This window comes from Homo sapiens, chromosome 5, assembly GCF_000001405.40.
Source record: "Homo sapiens chromosome 5, GRCh38.p14 Primary Assembly".
Lineage (NCBI taxonomy): Eukaryota > Metazoa > Chordata > Mammalia > Primates > Hominidae > Homo > Homo sapiens.
Window position 1 is genome coordinate 77,764,198 of NC_000005.10, and position 19,099 is coordinate 77,783,296.

Sequence of the window (19,099 nt, forward strand, 5' to 3'; positions counted from 1 at the left end):
TAAAAGGTAATAATAAACACAAGATTAAAAATAGTAGTTACATCAGGTGGGGGTAATAGCACAAAATTAGATGTTATTACCACTGTTTTACTTCTTGTGCTAGGTGATGGACTCATGTTATTAATACACTATTTGAAAGTAATAAATACAGGCATACAGCAAACAAATGAGGGCTGTGCATGGACCAATAATGAGTATGTGGCATAAATCAAGGATTAAGATTAATTCAGTTCTACACAACCAGTAACCAAAGAAAGAAAATACTACTGGGGTAACTAATTTGGATTCATTCCTTACAGCACACTTAAGTCTCCCATCTTTATTTTTAACTCTGTTCACCTCTTTAAAAAGTTTATAGCAATATTCAGAAAAAAAACTAATTTATAGAAAATTTCAGTGTGATTCGATGAAGCAAGTATATATTTGGGGAAATGTTTTCCTAAAGGTATCTTTAAAAATACTTTTAGCACTTGAAGGATTAAATCTCAACCAATGGTAAAATATGTATGTGAAACACTTTATTCACCAATAATATAGAGTATTACAGTGCTTTCTTATCTTCTGTTAGAATTAACCAAAAACAACTCAAAACTGTCTCCTTTTTCCACACAACCCAAAAGTCATTGCTAGCCATCCCAATATAAATTCTCCATCCCAAACAAGAAAACATCTTGCTTGATGTGATCTGAATCTGGACTCTACCCAAGGAGCTTTGTTTATGTGAATTATCTCTATTAATATTTACTGTATTAGAAATTAAAATAAATTTTTTAAATATTTAGTTAGAAAAATTTTAAATATATTTGTTAATTTACTTAAAAATAACAAAATCAATGTACAATGTTAGCAAAAATAACCTATTTTGCGAAAAATAATCTTACTTTCCAAAACAAAACAAAAAATAGAAAAACGGCACTATTTTACATTTTTGCAAATCTTTATGTCTGGAAGAGAAGCAGCTGGATTCTCGTATCTGCTTCTACATTCAATCTGTTGCAGTATCAAACATCACATAGCCCCTGAAAAACTCCACTGTACAATTGTGAGCAAGTGAAAGTGAAAAAGGCAAATGTCTTAGTTACTATAAAACTAATTTCTACTTTGCAGAACCCCTGAATGGGTGTTAGGGACCCCAAGGGGTTCCTAGACCATACTTTGGAAGCTATCAGCCTAGTAAACAGAACAAATAGCTTAATGCATTTTTAGTACTATCATAGTGAAAACTACAAAGTTCTCTGGGAACACAGAAAAGGGGGCACTAACATTGGACATAGCCAGGAAACTCTCATAGAGATGGTGACACCTGAAGCCCAAGTCCTTACATGAAGTCCTTCTAAGATCTGTACCCTCTCCCTCCTACTTTTCTGAATCTCCTACCCCCTTTTCCTCTCTTTCACTTGGTTGCTGCTCCTCAAACACGCCAATCTTACTCCCTTTTTCAAGTCTTTGAATTTGCTGTTTCTTCTGTCTGAATGACTCTTCCCCCATGTATCTCATGGCTGCTCTTGGCCACACCTGGCCATCCTTATAGCTGAGAAGAGATATACTTCCACACACCTGAAATCCATTCTGGGTCTACTCTTTGAGAAGTTCTGCCTTACGCTAACCATTACATATGTGTTCTAGGGGCCATATATAACAATGTACATTGTGGCACCATTTGTACAAGTGAAAAACTAGGGCCAAAAAAAAAAAAAAAAAAAGAAAACTAAACTACATATCCATTAAAATGAGAATAAAAACATACATTCGTACATTCATACTTGAAGTTCTAGGAATAAATCCTCATATACATGTATACTGCATAACTTAACAATGTACAAATTCCTTAAGCACTGGGACCAAACCTTTGCTCTTTTGTTTCCCTGAAATACCACCTACTCCCCATGAGATTTCGACATACCTATGTCCCTACTATTTTTCTTAAGTTGCAAAATAATAATAATAATAATAACCTGGAGTGGATTAGTCTATGTAACTTAGCAGGCAGTTAAACACACAAACACAGACCCCTCTATTAAACTAGAATTTAAGAATCTATTCTAGTTAATTCTAGGTAAACTACAAAAACTTTTTGACAGAACTGTAATAATTTTTAAATTTTCCACAATAGACTAGTCTCTTCCTAGTTTAAAAAATGTAAAATTGTTGCTTTTAAACAAATCCTTGATATATTTTCATATCTTTTATATCTCTAATAAAATAAAAATACTATCCTGAAAAATGTCTATTTGAGGGTGGTTATTACTTAACAGCGGTTGTTTCTCTTTTTTCTCCATTTCTAAGTCTCTCACTTTTATTTATTTATTTATTTATTTTTTTTTTTTTTTGAGACGGAGTCTCGTTCTGTCGCCCAGGCGGGAGTGCTGTGGCGCGATCTCCGCTCACTGCAAGCTCCGCCTTCCGGGTTCACGCCATTCTCCTGCCTCAGCCTCCCGAGTAGCTGGGACCACAGGCGCCCGCCACTGCGCCCGGCTAATTTTTTGTATTTTTAGTAGAGACGGGGTTTCACCGTGGTCTCGATCTCCTGACCTCGTGATCCGCCCGCCTCGGCCTCCCAAAGTGCTGGGATTACAGGCGTGAGCCACCGCGCCCGGCTCTCACTTTTATTTATAAAGCAAACTTTTATTTCCAGTCTCTTGATGTGTTCCCCCTCATAAACCCTTTTCTGGTTTCCTCCAGTCCTTAGCTCAATTGACAAATATCTATTAAGTGTCTATTTGTTGAAAAACAATTCTGTGAAAAGCAATGATATATCAGACACCATCCCTTTGGTCCTGAAAAGACGTGAAGAACTGTTTGGCCTTAAGAAAATCTTTGTATACTTTGATATAGTGCAGCGTCTTCAGAACTTAACATTCTAGATTTGGAAATCAAAATTATAATACTATACTAGTAATGTAAGTTCAAATACACTTCAGTAGACTTGGAGGTCTTCAAAAATTTCATAGAGTACAAATGTATTTCAGGCAACAAATGATTTATTAAAATCATGACATTAGTATTATTCAGAAGCTGAGGAACATTTAATGAAAAAGCTGATGCCTACTTGCTCCAACATACTATATAGACAAACAAACCGAGTTAGAATACACACAAGCACACACACACACAGAACTCCGTAACTTACTTGTGGAAGTGAAAGGATCTCAACAACAACAGAGAACTCAGTTAAAAAACAGTAAGAAGGATTTGGATATAACTATAATCTAGCACTAGAATTGTAAGAATGTCTTGTAATCATTGTGTGAATCATTTATAGATTTTGAAATTAGGGTTCTCCAAAACTCACTTGTCTACTCTTCCCCACAATAAACTTAATGATAGTCCAATAAAAAAGCAAAACTGGCCTTGCCACATTTTTTGCTGGGGCTTGGGGGTAGGGAATCACTGCTTCAGCAATGGTCACAAAAAGATGATCATTACAAAGTCTTAGAAATTACTCAAGAACACAAGGTTCATACTCTTCCTTTCTCCCTCCACAGACAATCAGTGAACAGAACAAGCAACTAAAACACAAGCTTTTATCACAATTTAAATCAAAGCCAAGTTCCAGGGTCTCTCCTGGGGATCAGTAACCATTCATCCTTAAGTCCTCATCCACACTGTTGATAATCTACAGAAAAGTAATAAAGATGCTGCTGCTATGGTTTGAATGTTCGTATCCCTCCAAAATTCACACTGAAACTTTATTTCCAATGCTACAGTATTAAGAGATGGGGCCTTTAGGTGATTAGGTAATGAGGTCTCCTCCCTTGTGAATGGGATTAAGGCCCTTATAAAAGAGGCTTCACACAGCCTTGGGCCCTTTAATGCTCTTCTGCCATGTGAAGACACAGTGTTCAGCGCACCATCCTGGAAGCAAGAGACCAGGCCCTCACCAGATACTTGCTGGCCTCTTCATCTTGGACTTCCCAGCCTCTGGAACTATAAGAAATAAATTTCTCTTATTTATAAATTGCCCAGTCTCAGGTATTTTTTTATAGCAGCACAAATGAACGAAGATAGGTGTTAATGATAATAATGAGAGCAGTTAGCATTTATTGAACATTTACTACATATCAGGCATTTGGGCTAAGTGCTTTACATGATTACCTTATTTAATTATCCTAACAATACAAAAAAAACAGGTACTTTCATTAACCCCATGTTCCGGCTAAGAAAACTGGGGCTTTTAAAGGCTAAGTAACTTTCCCAGGGTCACATATGTAATAACGTGTAGTAAGTGGAGCCTGGGAGCCCATCTATTTAACTCTCACTGCAAGAATAAATAACTATTCTGCAATTACTATATTGCAAGAATATAGTAACTATTATGCTGTAATATAGTAATTGATTCAGTGGCTCTCTACTGCTTATCCGATCAGGTTCAAAATCCTTATAAAGGAAGATTTCATTCCTTCATCTGTGTATTGCAAAGACTTTTACTGAGTATAATGTGCCAACACCATACCAGATGATTCAAAGACAGTAAGATGTAGGTTCTGAGTGAGGCTGCTAAATGAGTGATCTTTAGTTAGACCTATGACAAGTTATTAAGAAAAAAATCAGTTCTATTTGGACACAACAGCATCACAATAGAACATTATTATATTCTTTTATAAAGGTATTACTGGAAGTAGAATACTGGAATAGACATCACACATCTAAGCATTTACTGTCTTAAGAGTTTTAGACTGCCATTATTAATAAAATTTTCCAACCTTGCTTACTACAGATTTTCAAAATTTCCAACCAAACAAAAAAATGCAATGAAAAAACAAAACACCCATACACATACAGGGCCAAAGATCTTTCATCTCCACATTCAACCTGGAGAATAAAATACCTTGTGTTGGGAAAACTGTGATGATGAGTGGCCTTAGCCTTCTCCCTCTCCAGCTTGAAGAGACATCTGGTTGCCTGCTATATTGCTCCTAAGAGTAACTACTTGCCAAGTAGTTAACAGAATGTGGTGAAGAGCTGACCACCTGCAATCCATTTTGACATGGCCTCTGACCACCACTTTGGAGAACTGAATACATTACACAAATTCCTAAAGGAACTAGCTAAATTTCAAAGTAGGAAGGTAGCCATCTGGCTGAACTTAGCAATGGGGTACAGTGCAAAAGAGGATAAAAGAAAACAAAGCTAGCAAATCTTACAGGAATAATTTACAGGACTATGTTCTTAACCTATCCCAGATACAGTCCACCATACTTCTATGCACCATTGCTTTAAATATAAGTATATAAACAGCTAAAGCTAATGGGGGGAGACTTTACGTCTACTTAAGTATACGTGTCATTTGCATTCTTCACTTTTTATATCAGTATAATATATATTGAACTAATAGTGGAGATTTTACATACCTTTTATGTTGTCTTCATGCCTGCTATACATAGCATATACACCATACACAGTTGTATATAGGATGTAGATATAAACAAACTTCGGAAGATGCCACAGTTTGGGAACAATGCTTGCTTTATTAAAAAAAAAAAAATCAATACAATTTCCCCACAGGCTCATGATGTAAAATTCTATAATCAAGGCTTGTAGATTTGTAATTATGGTATGTCAGCTACATTTAAACAAGAGTGTTAAAAGACTGTTAAAGTTAAACTAACAAAATTGCAGTGTGAATTGTCCTAGTCTCATTCTAATCTACTGGTGTCACTTTCATTTAATCAGAGGAAAACTATGGGCCAATGTCAGTGCTATTTCCAATGCCCTAACATTCTTTGTTCACATTGGATTTTAAGCCATTACCAATCCAAAATGGTTATAAAAAGATATATTTAAGAAAGTATTTTTAATCAATTCATTCACTCACCAGTGAACTAGTTTAACAGGCTTTATTGAAAGCTGGCTTTAAAGTTAAATAACCTTTTATGTTAAATGATTGTGAGTGTTTTTTACTTGCAGAAGAATTTCTTGAATTTATCACAAGTCTAATAAAAAACAAACTTTTTTATGAACACAAATCCCACTTGGAAACTTTTTTGGTGCAGATAAGTCACTTAGCTGAAATACCACATTTAGAAAATATCAATTCTGCATTTTCTCCTACTTTAGTGAAAATTATTTTCTAAATCATTAATAATTTAAATACAGAACAAAAGCTACTCTGTCAAGGATTCATATTTACACCATGCACTTAAGTTTTAAATTAAGGTACAACATACAACTCACAGTTGTACTATCTGTAAATAGCCTCCAAATAAATCACAGAACACATAAAACAGAGCTATGTTAGCTAGTTACAGAAGAGGTGACCAATCATTCCAGTTTGCCTGGGACTTTCCCAGTTTTAGCAGTGAAGTGTTCCACATCCTGGGAAACCCCTCAGTCTCAGGCAAACTGTGATAATTGATGCCACCTAGATATCCTCCCCCGCTCCAAAAAAAAAACAGAGTGTTCAACAGTTCTGTGCTGGGGGAAAAAACTGAGTATTATTTGGTAACTCTGCTAGAGCTGCCAGATTAGTTGTGACCCTGTCACAGATATCAATAGGTCTAGCAATCTGCTGGAAACATAGATCCAAATCTTAAAAAAAAAAGAAAAAAAACAAAGAGCCAGCTACACCCAAACCTGCCAACTAATACCCACTACCAGTGAGTCACATGTGAACAAAGGCTGCTGCTCAAAGAAACTTAGTATAATAACCCACCTAGGGCCAGGCATAGTGGCTCACGCCTATAATTCCAGCACTTTGGGAGGCCACGGCAGGTGGATCACCTGAGGTCAGGAGTTCAAGATCAGCCAGGCAAAACCCTGTCTCTACTAAAAAATACAAAAATTAGCCAGCCATGGTGGCGGACACCTGTAATCCCAGCTACTCAGGAGGCTGAGGCAGGGATGAACCCAGGAGGCAGCAGCTGCAGTGAGCCGAGATCACACCAGTCCACTCCAGCCTGGGTGACACAGCGAGACTCTGACTCTGAAAAAATAAAAATAAAAATAATATAATAACCCATCTAGCCTCTGTTACATACATTTCTCTAGTTTCACAGCAAGAATTAGTCCTCAGGAAAAAAAAAAAAGTATACATGTAACAAAATATCACAGGGTACCCTGTAAATATGTATGTGTCAACTAAAAATAACAACAATACTATTAAAATCTTGTTGCTGGAAGATATTTAAGGAGCCCTCAGAGTCAGAGGCTTAGCACCAATTCAGCCTCATTCTGTCCAACTCTCACCTTCTAAGCCATTCCTAGTATCTAGACTCTTTCTTTATTCCTAGTAATCTAACCTCTCTCTCTTGAAACTCACTTCCCAGAAATCAGATGCTTTGCCATTTACTGTACAAGGTAACAAAGTTTCTCTAGGAACAAGACACTCACCGTAAACCTCCGGCCTATTTTCCCAGGGCCTAAAAATACTGGCCCTGAAACTTGTTTCTACTTTATAATGTGGGCTGCTATCCATTAGGTCAACTCTGCCATTTTGCCAACATGCTGAAATGGCCGTCTTGCACGCATGGCTGGATCTCCTACACGCCAAATACCATCATCTACTTATTGCCTGTTTCCATATTCCCCTAACATTCAACCTGCCTGTCCACATTTCTTCCTCAGACCCACTATCAGGAACTTCTGAGTCACCTGAAGTGTTCCACCAGGTCTAATCAGAAACTAAATTAATCCACCCTTTCTAGTATAGCCTACCCAAACTGAACTCTAGGACAAATACCTAGAATATAATTTCTAGTTGCTCTCAATTTCTAGAGAGAAAATTGAAGGATTTGGGGCATGAATAATGACTTTAAACCTCTTCTTCCAAATAAAGGTTGTGACTTCCGAAGATAAATGAGGCTATGGAAAATGAACGTCTAACCAGAAAAAGAGTGTCAAGAACAGATTTAAAATAGTGTCGAGGATAGGTTTTTAAACCATTGATTAAAAAAAAAAAAAGAAAAGAATAGAATCCCTTTCACAAAAGCAAGAACATGTCTGAATCATGAATTAAGGTATCTTTGAAACTAAATTTGGAGAGAGGAGGAAAAAAGCATATCTTTTAGACCCTTTTTATCATGAAAAATGTTCAACTTATGTACAGAAAAATATAATGAAGCCCCATGATCATTCAGCCCCAACAATTAGTAATATGTTACCATTGCTGCCTCATCTATTTTTTACTTTGCTGAGGTAAAATATAGATTTTTAAAAATAGGTTGCAGGGTTTAAAACCTAGATGACGGGTCGACAGGTGCAGCATATCACCATGGCACATGTGTACCTATATAACAAAACTGCACGTTCAGCACATGTATCCCAGAACTTAAAGTAAAATAAAAATAAATAATAATAAAATAAAAATAGGATACTAAGGTAGAAGATGGAAAGAGTCATAGCAAAATAATTTTCAGGTGAAAAATAACAAGAGACAATAGGGGACAATATTTATGGAGTTAGATGGTGATATACCAAGGCAAAATGTGAGTAACAAGCAGCTAAAACAGAAAGTTTAGGGGTTTTTCTTTAATTGCATTTTAATACATAAGTGGGAAGCTATACCCCAAAATGTCAACAGAAAAGTCATTTTAAAATGTATGGGAGACACTTCCATTAATTTATAAGCAATTTGAGATAATAGTAAACTATCACCAAGTTTCATAAAATGATAAATTTATTTCTAAGCAGTTTACATAAGCATTGAAAACTTCTGAAAAGTCAAAAACTTAGTTTATAATAATCTCAATGAGTATTTTCTCTAGAATATGTATTGTCAGCATATAACTACTTGAACTAAGTAATTTTATAAACTAGTAGAGATCACTGGAATGAGAAATGTCAAGGTCATATAAGTAAATGAATGGGAAACTACCATTAGAAGTCATTTCTCATGACTTTCATTCTACAGCACTCTGCAACACACCCTGATAGTTCTGCCAAATATACTGACTAAAATGACATAACCCAAGCAAGTCTGGTAAAAGTGAACCAGTCTGGTAAAAGTCTGGTAAAAAGAACTCTGAGCTGAGGGACAGGATGGATTATTTATATTTTCAAATATACATCTCAATTCCCTTCCTATTACCAATTTTAAAAATACTCTTTACGGGAGCACTGTAGCTTAAAGGAGAAAGTTGTAGATTTGAAACCTTGGTCCTTTTCCTTGCATTGCCACTAACTAGTAGTGTGACTTTAGACAAGTTTTTTTTTTCTTTTTTTAACTTCATTAAACCTCAGTTTCTCATATGTAAAATGAGAATCCAAACAGTATTATTAACATTTACTACCCACTTGCTATTTGCCACATACTGTATTAAACAGCATAGCAGGCAGTTCTTGCAACAACTGCTTGAGTTGGGTGCTTGCTCTATTTTACAAATAAGGTAAAAGAGGCACAGCACAATGTAATATATTCCACAACATAGAATAAAGGGCAGAATCAAGATCTGAACCCAAGCAGTCTCACTTCACAAATGGCTGTGCATTTAACTCCTACTCACATGGTCTCCTTATTGCCTTGGCAATAAAGCTTCCCGGGAAGTGGGATGCTGTGCTAAAACTCAGAAGCATTATCTTAAAAAGTGAATTTATTCTCCCTTTTGCCTGGTCCTTCCTCTGGTGGAAATATCAATAAACAAAGGAAAGGTGGGCGAACAGGAAGAAGCCAGTTGGTTTCTTTAGTAGACATTGCTACAACAAAATAACTTGCTTCTTCAGAAGGCTGTTTATCTTTTCTCTTGTAATACTTCATCAAAAAGTTTGCTCTTCTTGGGTCTGAACAATAAAGTTCTAATGAACACTGAAGGGTCTACCAGCACTCAGGAATGCAAACTAAAAACAAAATTCTAAGCTCCAAAACCGTCTGAATGGACCCCTCCTCTCAACTAAGGGCATTCTAAAGTAATTCAGGCCATGATGGGAAGAGGGGGTCAGACATGTCTCATTACACATTCCTCCCTTTGGAACTCAGGAACAATTGAGCAGCATTAACATTAAAACAGATCTTAAGGCTTTTTGTAACAATAAGACACCAAATTCCAGCTTTACTCTAGTATGGCATCACAGGACAGATAGCGGGATCTGAAAGAAATAAAAGCATTTTACTCTAAAATATATTTCTTTACATATTTTGAATTGGCCCTGCAAAGATGTCTCTTAAGGGGAAAATCTATATTCTGTAGAGAACCCTCTTCCCTGTCCAGGTCTTTTTCCTGATCCACTAGAAAATTAACTAGGAGTCTGGGACCTTTTTAAGTCTGATAAGAAACATTTACAATCTATTCTCTCTGAAGCCTGCTACCTGGAGGCTTCATCTGCCTAATAAGAACCTTGATCTCCACAACCCCTTTATTTTAACCCAGACACACTCCCTTGTATTGATTCCAGGTCTTAAGATAAACTCTTTCAACGAACTGCCAATTGGAAAACCTCCTATAACTTGGAACTGTCCCCAGCCCGCTTTGGGTTGTCCTGCCTTTCCAGATCAAACCAATGTACATCGTACATGTATTGATTGATGTCTTCTGTCTCCCTAAAATGTATAAAACCAAGCTGTAGCCTGACCACCTCGGGCACATGTCATCAGGACTTCCTGAGGCTGTCACAGGCATATCCTTAACCTTGGCAAAATAAACTTCTAAACTGATTGAGACCTGTCTCAGGTACTTTCTTGGTTTACAGGAATTTAAGCAAATTACAGGACTGCACTACCCATGAGTTTGTGAAAGGAAAAATAAATCTCAGGACCCCAAAATCACTAAGCCAAAAAGAAAAGTCAAGCTGGGAATTGCATCGAGCAAACCTGCCTCTCATTTTATTCCTGAATAAGATAGCTACAAAGATTAAAAAAAAAAAAAAAAAAGCTACATACCTCCCTGACAATTTGCCCCCAAGGAAATTCCTTGTGGGCCTCAAGACCTTCACTCTAAAACAGTTCTGTTGTATTTCACCCTGGCAATGTAAATTGATAGCTTATCTTCACAGGTATGGGACAAAGAACAGAACTCAAAGTCACCCCTCTACCCACCTGAGACAAATGCGTAACTGACTGCTTCCTCTGCCCTACTGTGTATGTAAAATCGCAGATTCATTTAGCCGACTAAGGCATAAGTGACTATTCTTCTATCCCTCTCTCACATGTAAATTGTGTATTAAGTGAAAAGCTGATCAAAGACTCAAAAGAATGCAACCATTTGTCTCTTATCTATGACCTGGATGCCCCCCAACCTTCTAGTTGTCCTGCCTTTCTGGAGGGAACCAAGGTACACCTTACCCATTGACTAATATCTGAGGTCTCCCTAAAACGTATTACACCAAGCTGTGCCCCAACCGCCTTGGGCACATGTCATCAGGACCTCCTGAGGCTGTGTCATGGGCACGTCCTTGGCAAAATAAACATTCCAAATTAAGACCTGTCTCAGATACTTCTGGTTCACAAGTTATTTAAACAGCATCTCACAGCCTCTGGGGCGAGCTTCGGGGAATCTGACTGGAGAAAGTGAGGCCACATAAGTTTGCTGAGTGTGCTAGAAGTTCAGGCCCAGTTCTCAAAGCCTGCCAGTCACGCCAGCCATGTTAGGTCACACGGCTCCACTACGGTCTTTTTTGACGAGGCCCAGATCCTCCGCATCCCCCTAAACTTCAGAGCCTGCTTTCAAGCCCATTTGAGAGCACAGCTGGGATCCCGCTTCCCCGGGCCAAGTTCAGCAAGGAGAGGCCGGCGCGCGCACACAGGAGGCACGGGATCAGGGCCCGGCCCGCCCTCGCAGGCCGCGGCCCACCACCTTCCCACCGCGGGCGCCGAGAAACCGGGCCACCGCCGACTCTTCCGGCAAATCAGAGCGGCCAGTGAGCGGAGAGGGACGGGAAGCGGCGTGCGAGGCTGGCGGGCTCGGGCGTCAGCGCGCCCCGCTGGGTCCCTGCCAGTCCCAGCCAACTGCGGAGCCCCGGGTGCGGCCTGGAGTTCGGAGCCCGCCTCGGGCCTCCTCGGGCCTGCGCTCCGCTCAGCCTCGCGGGCCGCCATGAGGTGACGAAGAGGAGGTGCAGGGCGCCGCTCCCGGCTCCTTACCGCTTCACCACGCCGGTCTTGATCTTGATCTGTCTCACGCGAGGATCGGCCATGGTCCCTCGAGCGCCGCGAGAAGGAGGGGCGGAGAGCCGGGGTAACCGTGGAGGGCGACGCGCAGAGGCTGCGGCTATTTAGGCGTGGTCGCCGGCGCGCATGCGCAGGCTGCGCGGCCCGTCGTCCCCGCCACGCCCCGCGGGGCGGGTTTACTAGAGGGCGGTACCCTGCTCCCGCCAGTCCCTTTACCCCTCGTGCGCCCCTTTACCCGTAGTGAAACGTGCCCTCCTCCTCTCTCTCGGACTGCCCCTCTTTTTACTTCAGGCGCAAGTTACACTATCCCGGTCTCCACAGCCTGGGCCTTTGGGGAAACTAACGTCTCTCTGGGACGTTGCTTTGCGGGATTATCTGCTTAATGGACGGAGTGACCTAAAAAATGTATTAAGGGTATTTTCGATGTCGTTATCTGGTGTCAGATGAGGCAGAGTGATGCATGTGTAGTGAAACAAACTGCCATCATGCACGCAGTCAAGAAAATCCTTGCCCTTTACCTCAAATCCCTGCAAGAAGGTTTGTAGATAACGTGCCTTTCAAAGGAAATGACTAACAGAACTTCTTCAGATGATCACTTATAGTGTATCCTAAATATTTAACTTACAAGAATGTGTGTCGCACACAAAACCTTGGGCTTCCTAATCAGACAAACCGGCTTACAATCGAGGTTCCACCCTTTAATAGCTAGACTATTAGCTAGACAACACTGATACGTATGCTGTTTAGCCTTGCAGCTGATCAGTCTGCAAAATGGAAATAATAATGTCCATTTTACAGATTAGGTATAAGGGTTAAAACACCTAGCTCATTGTCTGACGCATGGTAGATGCTGAACAACATTTGACTATTTTATATGTTCAAAAATATATTTGTTGCATAAAATGAGGCACATCTACAGTGAGCTCTAGCAGTCCCTTCCTAAGAGAATCTCCTGAGGAATACAGGGCAGAATCGCCCTTTTTAAAATTGCTTTTCTTTTTCTTTTTCTTTTTTTTTTTTTTGAGACAGATTCTCACTCTGTCGTGCAGTGGCTTGATCTCGGCTCACTGCAACCTCCGCCTCCTGGGTTCAAGTGATTCTCCTGCCTCAGCCCCTAGAGTAGCTGGAATTATAGGCGCGTTCCACTATGCCTGGCTAATTTTTTTTTTTTTTTTTTTTTGTATTTTTAGTAGAAACGGGGTTTCACCACGTTGGCCAGGCTGGCTAGAACTCCTGACCTCAGGTGAGGCCCACCTCACCCTCCAAAAGTGCTGGGATTACAGTCATGAGCCACCGAGCCCACCCCCTTTTTAAAATTTCTTGGTACCATCCTTCAAAGACACCCATATGACTGTCTTTTTCCTTCCCTAGCCTGACTTACTCATTCTCACTTTCATGACTGGTCCTGGAATCCCCTTCTATCCCGCCAGCCCAAGGCCGTTACTTTAAATCCAGGATCAAAACTGAGCAAAGTCTACTATGACTCACCCCACCTGTTCAATCTTCCCTGGATGCTTTGGAGTCACCCAGTAGTCATCATTATTTTTAGTATATTTCTTTTTCAAATTATTGTTTGGTCCTTCGTAAGGGTTTTGTTCAGCTTCGTAGTTATAAATCCTGGTTCATAAACATGTTTAGAGGCAAGATTCTTGTCTTCCATAAATCTTCCTTCCCCAACCTCCTCCACCTGTGTTTTGTGCACAATGGGCACAGAATTCAATAAATATTTTTATTCTGCTGGCTGGTATACTGATGTGCAATTCCAAGTCACACAGCAGCGCTGTGAAATACTGGAGGGAGGGGTAGATAAAACACAACAGCAAACTTACCAAAGCAAAATGACATGCACACACACACACAAACACACACACACACACACACAAACAGCAGCTACAAGCCACAAACCAAAAGATGGTGCAGCTAGGGCTTTTGCTACCGTTAAGGTCTTTCCTTTGATTAGGTAGCAAAAACCATGTAACTCGTCATATTTTCCTTTTTTGCTTTGGTTTCAAGAAGCTCAGAGCTCAGTTTTGTGCTAATTTGCAGGAGTTTCTCTCAAACTAGGCTTCCCAATACAAATACCTGCTATTTCCCCCCAATCCCCAATTCTGCCTCCCTCCTTTTGCCCCCTTTCTCTTTGTTTTAATTGATTTGTATCTGTGCCTTTACTATAAATCAATAATCAGTAAATGTCAGCAGCCAAAAGACCTCTGCTGCTACTGCCATTGTGTGTTTCCAGGCCCATTCCCAGGCTCTGGAGGACACTTTGTGAGTTTATCTGTGTCTGTGTATACAGTTGACCCTTGAACAACAGTTTCGAATTGTGCAGGTGTGTCAGAGGTGTTTGAACCAAAGCAACTCCATCTTGAATAGGGTCTGGGTAATATGAGGCTGAGATCTGCTGGGCTCTCTTCCCAGGAGGTTAGGCATTCTTAATCACAGGATAAGATGGGAGGTTGGCAGGACTGGTTTCACTAGACACAGACCACAAAGACCCTGCTGATAAAACAGGATGCTGTAAAGAAGCTGGCCAAACCCCACCGAAACCAAGATGGTGACAAAAGTGTTTTCTGGTTGTCCTCAATGTTCATTATATGCTAATTATAATGTATTAGCATAATAAAATAAACTCCCACCAGCACCCTGACTATTTACAAATACCATGGCAATACCTGGAAGTTACCCTATATGGTCTAAAAAGGAAAGGAACCCTCAGTCCCAGGAACTCCCCACCCTTTCCTGGAAAGCTCATGAATAATCCACCCCTTGTTTAGCATATAATCAAGAAACAACCATAAGTATACTCAGTCAAGCAGCCCATGCCACTGCTGTATTCAGTAGCCGTTCTTTCATTTTTTTACTTTCTTAATAAACTTCATTTCACTTTATAGACTTGCCCCAAATTCTTTCTTGCACGAGATACAAGAACTTGCTCCTGGGGTCTGGATGGGGACTGCTTTCTGGCAACAGGCCCACTTAGAAGAAGAGTTTTTTCAATAAATACAGTCAGCCCTCCATATTGGCAGGTTTTGCATCCACAACCAGACAAGGATGGAAAATACAGTATTCCCAGGATGCAGAAACCCACATATAGGCAAGGCCCACTTTTCTGTGGGTTTCTTAGGGCCAACTAGGGAACTTCTGTGTGCACTCAAGCATGAGTTTTGATATCCTTAGCAGTTCTGTAACCAATACCCCACAGATATCAGGGGACAACCATTCTATATTGTATTCTTGAGTCTATGGGTTAAGATTAAGGAGTTTGGCGCCGCCTTTAAGGATAAGAATCAGAAAGACTTGTTTCAGGTTTCAGGAGTTTACAATAGTGGTTAAGAATGTGAACCCTGGGACTAGACTGCCTGGGGTCAATCCTAGCTCTGCATCTTACTAACTGTGTAATATTGGACAAGTTACTTAACCTCTCTATGCCCCAGTTTCTTTCTTCTGTAAAAGGTAGATGATGAAAAACTTAAATGAGCTAATAATTGTAAAGTGCTTAGGATAGTGCTGGTACTTATTAAGCCCCACATGAATGTAAACCAAAATAAAATTGTGAACCCCCACCCCACCCCGGGCTATCTGAATGGACCCCTCCTCTCAGCCAAGGGCATTCCAAAGTTAACCTGAAAAACTAGGTCAGCCCACGAAGGGAAGGGGGAATCAGACATGCCTCTTTATACCCTCCTCTCTTTTGTAATTCAAGCACAGCTGACCATTAACAAGTGACCTTAAGACCAATAGAACAGACTCTGTAAGTCTGATAAGAAATATTTGCAATCAGGCTGGGTGCAGTGGATCACACCTGTAATCCCAGCACTTTGGGAGGCTGAGGCAGGAGGATCACGAGGTCAGGAGATCGAGACCAGCCTGACCAACATGGTGAAACCCTGTCTCTGCTAAAAATACAAAATTAGCCAGGCATGGTGGCGCATGCCTGTAATCCCAGCTACTCGGGAGGCTGAGGCAGGAGAATCACTTGAACCCAGGAGGCAGAGGTTGTGGTGGGCTGAGATTGTGCCATTGCACTCCAGCCTGGGAAACAGGAGCAAAACTCAGTCTCAAAAAAAAAAAAGAAAAAAAGAAATATTTGCAATCTGTTCTCTCTGAAGCCTGCTACATGGAGGCCTCATCTGAAAGATAAAACCTTGGTGTCCACAACCCCTTATCATAACCCAGACCTTCCTTTCTATTGATTCCAGGTCTCTAGATAATAACTCTTTCAACCAATTGCCAATCAGAAAATCTTTGAATCTGCCTATGTCCTGGATGACCCCCCTTTTCCAGTTGTCCCACCTTTCTAGACTGAACCAATGTACATCTTACATGTATTGATTGATGTCTTATGTCTCCCTAGAATGGGTAAAACCAAGCAGTACCTTGGGCCACCGAGGTACCTTGGGCCAGTACCTGGCCACCTTGGGCACATGTTCTCAGGATCTCCTGGGCCTATGTCACAGCCCATTGGTCACTCATATTTGGGTCAGAATAAATCTCTTGAAGTATTTCACAGAGTTTAACTCTTTTTGTCAACATAATATTTAACAAACATAAAGTTTGTTAAATAAATAAGTCATTTTGGAAAGAGGTCCCAAATAAGAAACTAACAGCATGGTAGAATTCACATTCATATGAATATAAAAATGTACATATTATCGTTAATGATATCATGCTGAATTCATGTCTGATTCATAATTTTGTATGAAAAGGACTCATGTTTGACTTATTCACCACTGTATCCCAACATGTAGCAAAGCCTTACGCACAGCAGTTAATAAATATTTCTTGAATGTAAATAAGTGCTGTTTGAACAATCCTTTTGTTTTCCATTTAATAATATGTCACAGAGACTTCCCATTGCAGCAAGATGACTACTAAGACAACCTGAATCCCCACCTCCCCACACACACCATCTTCCTCTGGGCTTTGCTCTTTCGGGTCTGGACTCTGAGGAGGCAGGCTGATGGAAGGCCATTTCAGGTCAGTTCAGGAGAGTACTAACTGTAGGGAGGCCTGCAGAATCTAGGCAGGGAGATGCCCTCCAGCATTTGAAATGGAAACTAACTAAGCTGCATTTCTCACTGTCTAGCACCCTTTTGTTCTGTTATCCTTAAACCTAATTGAATACTGTTTAAATATTCCAGCCTGGCCTCAGGTGAACTACAGGAATGAGTTTATAAAGGTCTTTACAAGGGATAAGTCCATCCACCTTTGAGATTTAGGGTTGAAGAGATCTGAGAGATTAACAGCACTGAGTGAATCTGGCAGAACAAGAGAAAAGTCTAGCCATCTCCTCCCTGAGTGATAATTCTTGCATTGCCAATCTTGGAAGGTTGAGGTCCTACAGTTGACCCTTGAACAACACAGTGGTTAGAGGTGCCAACCCCTGTGCGGTCAAAAATCACATATAACTTTTGACTCACCAAAATCCTAGCTACTAATAGCCTACTGTTGACTGGAAGCCTTACCAATAACATAAACAGTCAATTAACACATATTTATATGTTATATATAGGATATATTGTATTCTTACAATAAAGCAAGCTAGAGAAAAAAAGTGTTATTAAGAAAATCATAAGGGGCCGGGCATGGTGGCTCAGACCTGTAACCCCAGCACTTTGGGAGGCTGGGGTGGGCAGATCACTTGGGGTCAGGAGTTCGAGACCAGCCTGGCCAACATGATAAAACCCCATCTCTACTAAAAATACAAAAATCAGCCAGATATGGTGGCGGGCACCTATAATCCCAGCTATTCAGGAAGCTGAGGCAGGAGAATTGCTTGAACCTGGAAGGCGGAGGTTGCAGTGAGCTAGGATCGCGCCACTGCACTCCAGCCGGGGTGACAGACCAAGACTCTGTCTCAAAAAAAAAAAAAAAAAAAAAGAGAGAGAGAGAGGGAAATATATTTACTATTCATTAAGTGGAAATGCATCATCACACAGGTCTTCATCCTTGTGTCTTCACATTGAGTAAGCTGAGGAGGAGGAAAAAGAGGGATTGATAGAGGTGAAAGAAGTTGGAGTGGGTGGAAAAGGAAGCAGGAGAGGCAGCTCTACTCAGTGTTACTGTTATTGAAAAAAATCTACATATGAGTGGACCTGCACAGTTCAAACCTATGTTGTACAAGGGTCAACTGTATTTTATTAAAGAACACTACAGACTCCCTTACAATTGAGAGGTGTTTTCCCCGTACACTTACTGGGCTGTGAACTCACAGTTCTTGCCATCCCCTCACACCATTCTTTCCCACTAGACTCCAAGCTCCTCGAGATTAGAGACCAAATTACATTCATTTTGGTACCCCTAGCATCAAGCTTAATGCCCAGTGCCTAGTAGATGCACAGTATATATTATAAAAATCAAGGGTGGGACTGAGATAGATTTCTAATTTTGACAAAAACAATAGACTGGTCATGTTTTTATCCTCCTGGAACTATGAAGCAACCTGTATGCAAGGAGCCTTCTGCAGTGCTCCAGAACTCAATGTACAGTTACCATGATATTTTATTTCTATTCAATAAAACCAAGTAGCCAACCGCAGAACACACCCCTGGAGAGATTACTTAAATAAGGAAGTATTAATATCATTGATAAAAGTATATTTTTGTGAAATATCTCTGATAATTAACTCTAGATGCCTGAGAGACCTAGAAAGATCCCCTTCCTTCCCTTCCACTTGTGCATCTTTTCAAACTCTTTCAGTCTTGCCTCTTACTGGAGCCCCTGCAGTGGTACCCAATCTCTTTCAGGCTTTGCATGAGTACAACATGATAGCGCCTTACTTCAGGCCCAAGCCATGTGCACCCACGAGACAGGAAACAGGAGAATAGGGGAACAGGAGGCTATGGATCAGTGACTCCCCTTTCATTCTGCAGACAGCAGATGGCTCTAAGATGCATTCCATAAGGCCCTCAGATGATCTCGTGGAATCAAGCACCAGTCATGTGTAGCAAGGGCAAACTCAATAATCCACCTTTGCATTGGCTTTTCCTCTTTCTCTGTTTGACTTACCCATTTCTCAATCCTGGCCCCATAATCACTTTCTGAACAAGTAGGGTAGTAACTACA

General features: G+C 40.4%; 1 protein-coding gene across 3 annotated transcripts in view, besides 4 other annotated features; it reads right to left on the reverse strand.

Annotated features, from left to right (window-relative positions):
- The window catches only part of TBCA (tubulin folding cofactor A), an 85,174-nt gene extending 73,032 nt beyond the window's left edge, over positions 1-12,142 (reverse strand). For all 3 annotated transcript variants that reach the window (NM_001297740.2, NM_004607.3, NM_001297738.2), the window contains exon 1: positions 12,008-12,142. In NM_001297740.2, the coding sequence (NP_001284669.1) occupies positions 12,008-12,060 (53 nt within the window). In that variant the 5' untranslated portion in view covers positions 12,061-12,142. The remainder of the gene's footprint in view (positions 1-12,007) is intronic.
- Positions 8,951-9,836: an enhancer, noted in NCBI's record as "OCT4-NANOG-H3K27ac hESC enhancer chr5:77068972-77069857 (GRCh37/hg19 assembly coordinates)". NCBI's record gives its function as "activates a minimal SCP1, AML or CMV promoter by ChIP-STARR-seq in naive H9 embryonic stem cells {active_cell/tissue: H9 hESC(naive)}" and the evidence as "EXISTENCE:reporter gene assay evidence [ECO:0000049][PMID:30033119]".
- Positions 9,837-10,721: an enhancer, noted in NCBI's record as "OCT4-NANOG-H3K27ac hESC enhancer chr5:77069858-77070742 (GRCh37/hg19 assembly coordinates)". NCBI's record gives its function as "activates a minimal SCP1, AML or CMV promoter by ChIP-STARR-seq in naive H9 embryonic stem cells {active_cell/tissue: H9 hESC(naive)}" and the evidence as "EXISTENCE:reporter gene assay evidence [ECO:0000049][PMID:30033119]".
- Positions 11,739-11,908: a silencer, noted in NCBI's record as "silent region_16114". NCBI's record gives its function as "represses an Ori minimal core promoter by ATAC-STARR-seq in GM12878 lymphoblastoid cells {active_cell/tissue: GM12878}" and the evidence as "EXISTENCE:reporter gene assay evidence [ECO:0000049][PMID:35858748]".
- Positions 12,029-12,288: a silencer, noted in NCBI's record as "silent region_16115". NCBI's record gives its function as "represses an Ori minimal core promoter by ATAC-STARR-seq in GM12878 lymphoblastoid cells {active_cell/tissue: GM12878}" and the evidence as "EXISTENCE:reporter gene assay evidence [ECO:0000049][PMID:35858748]".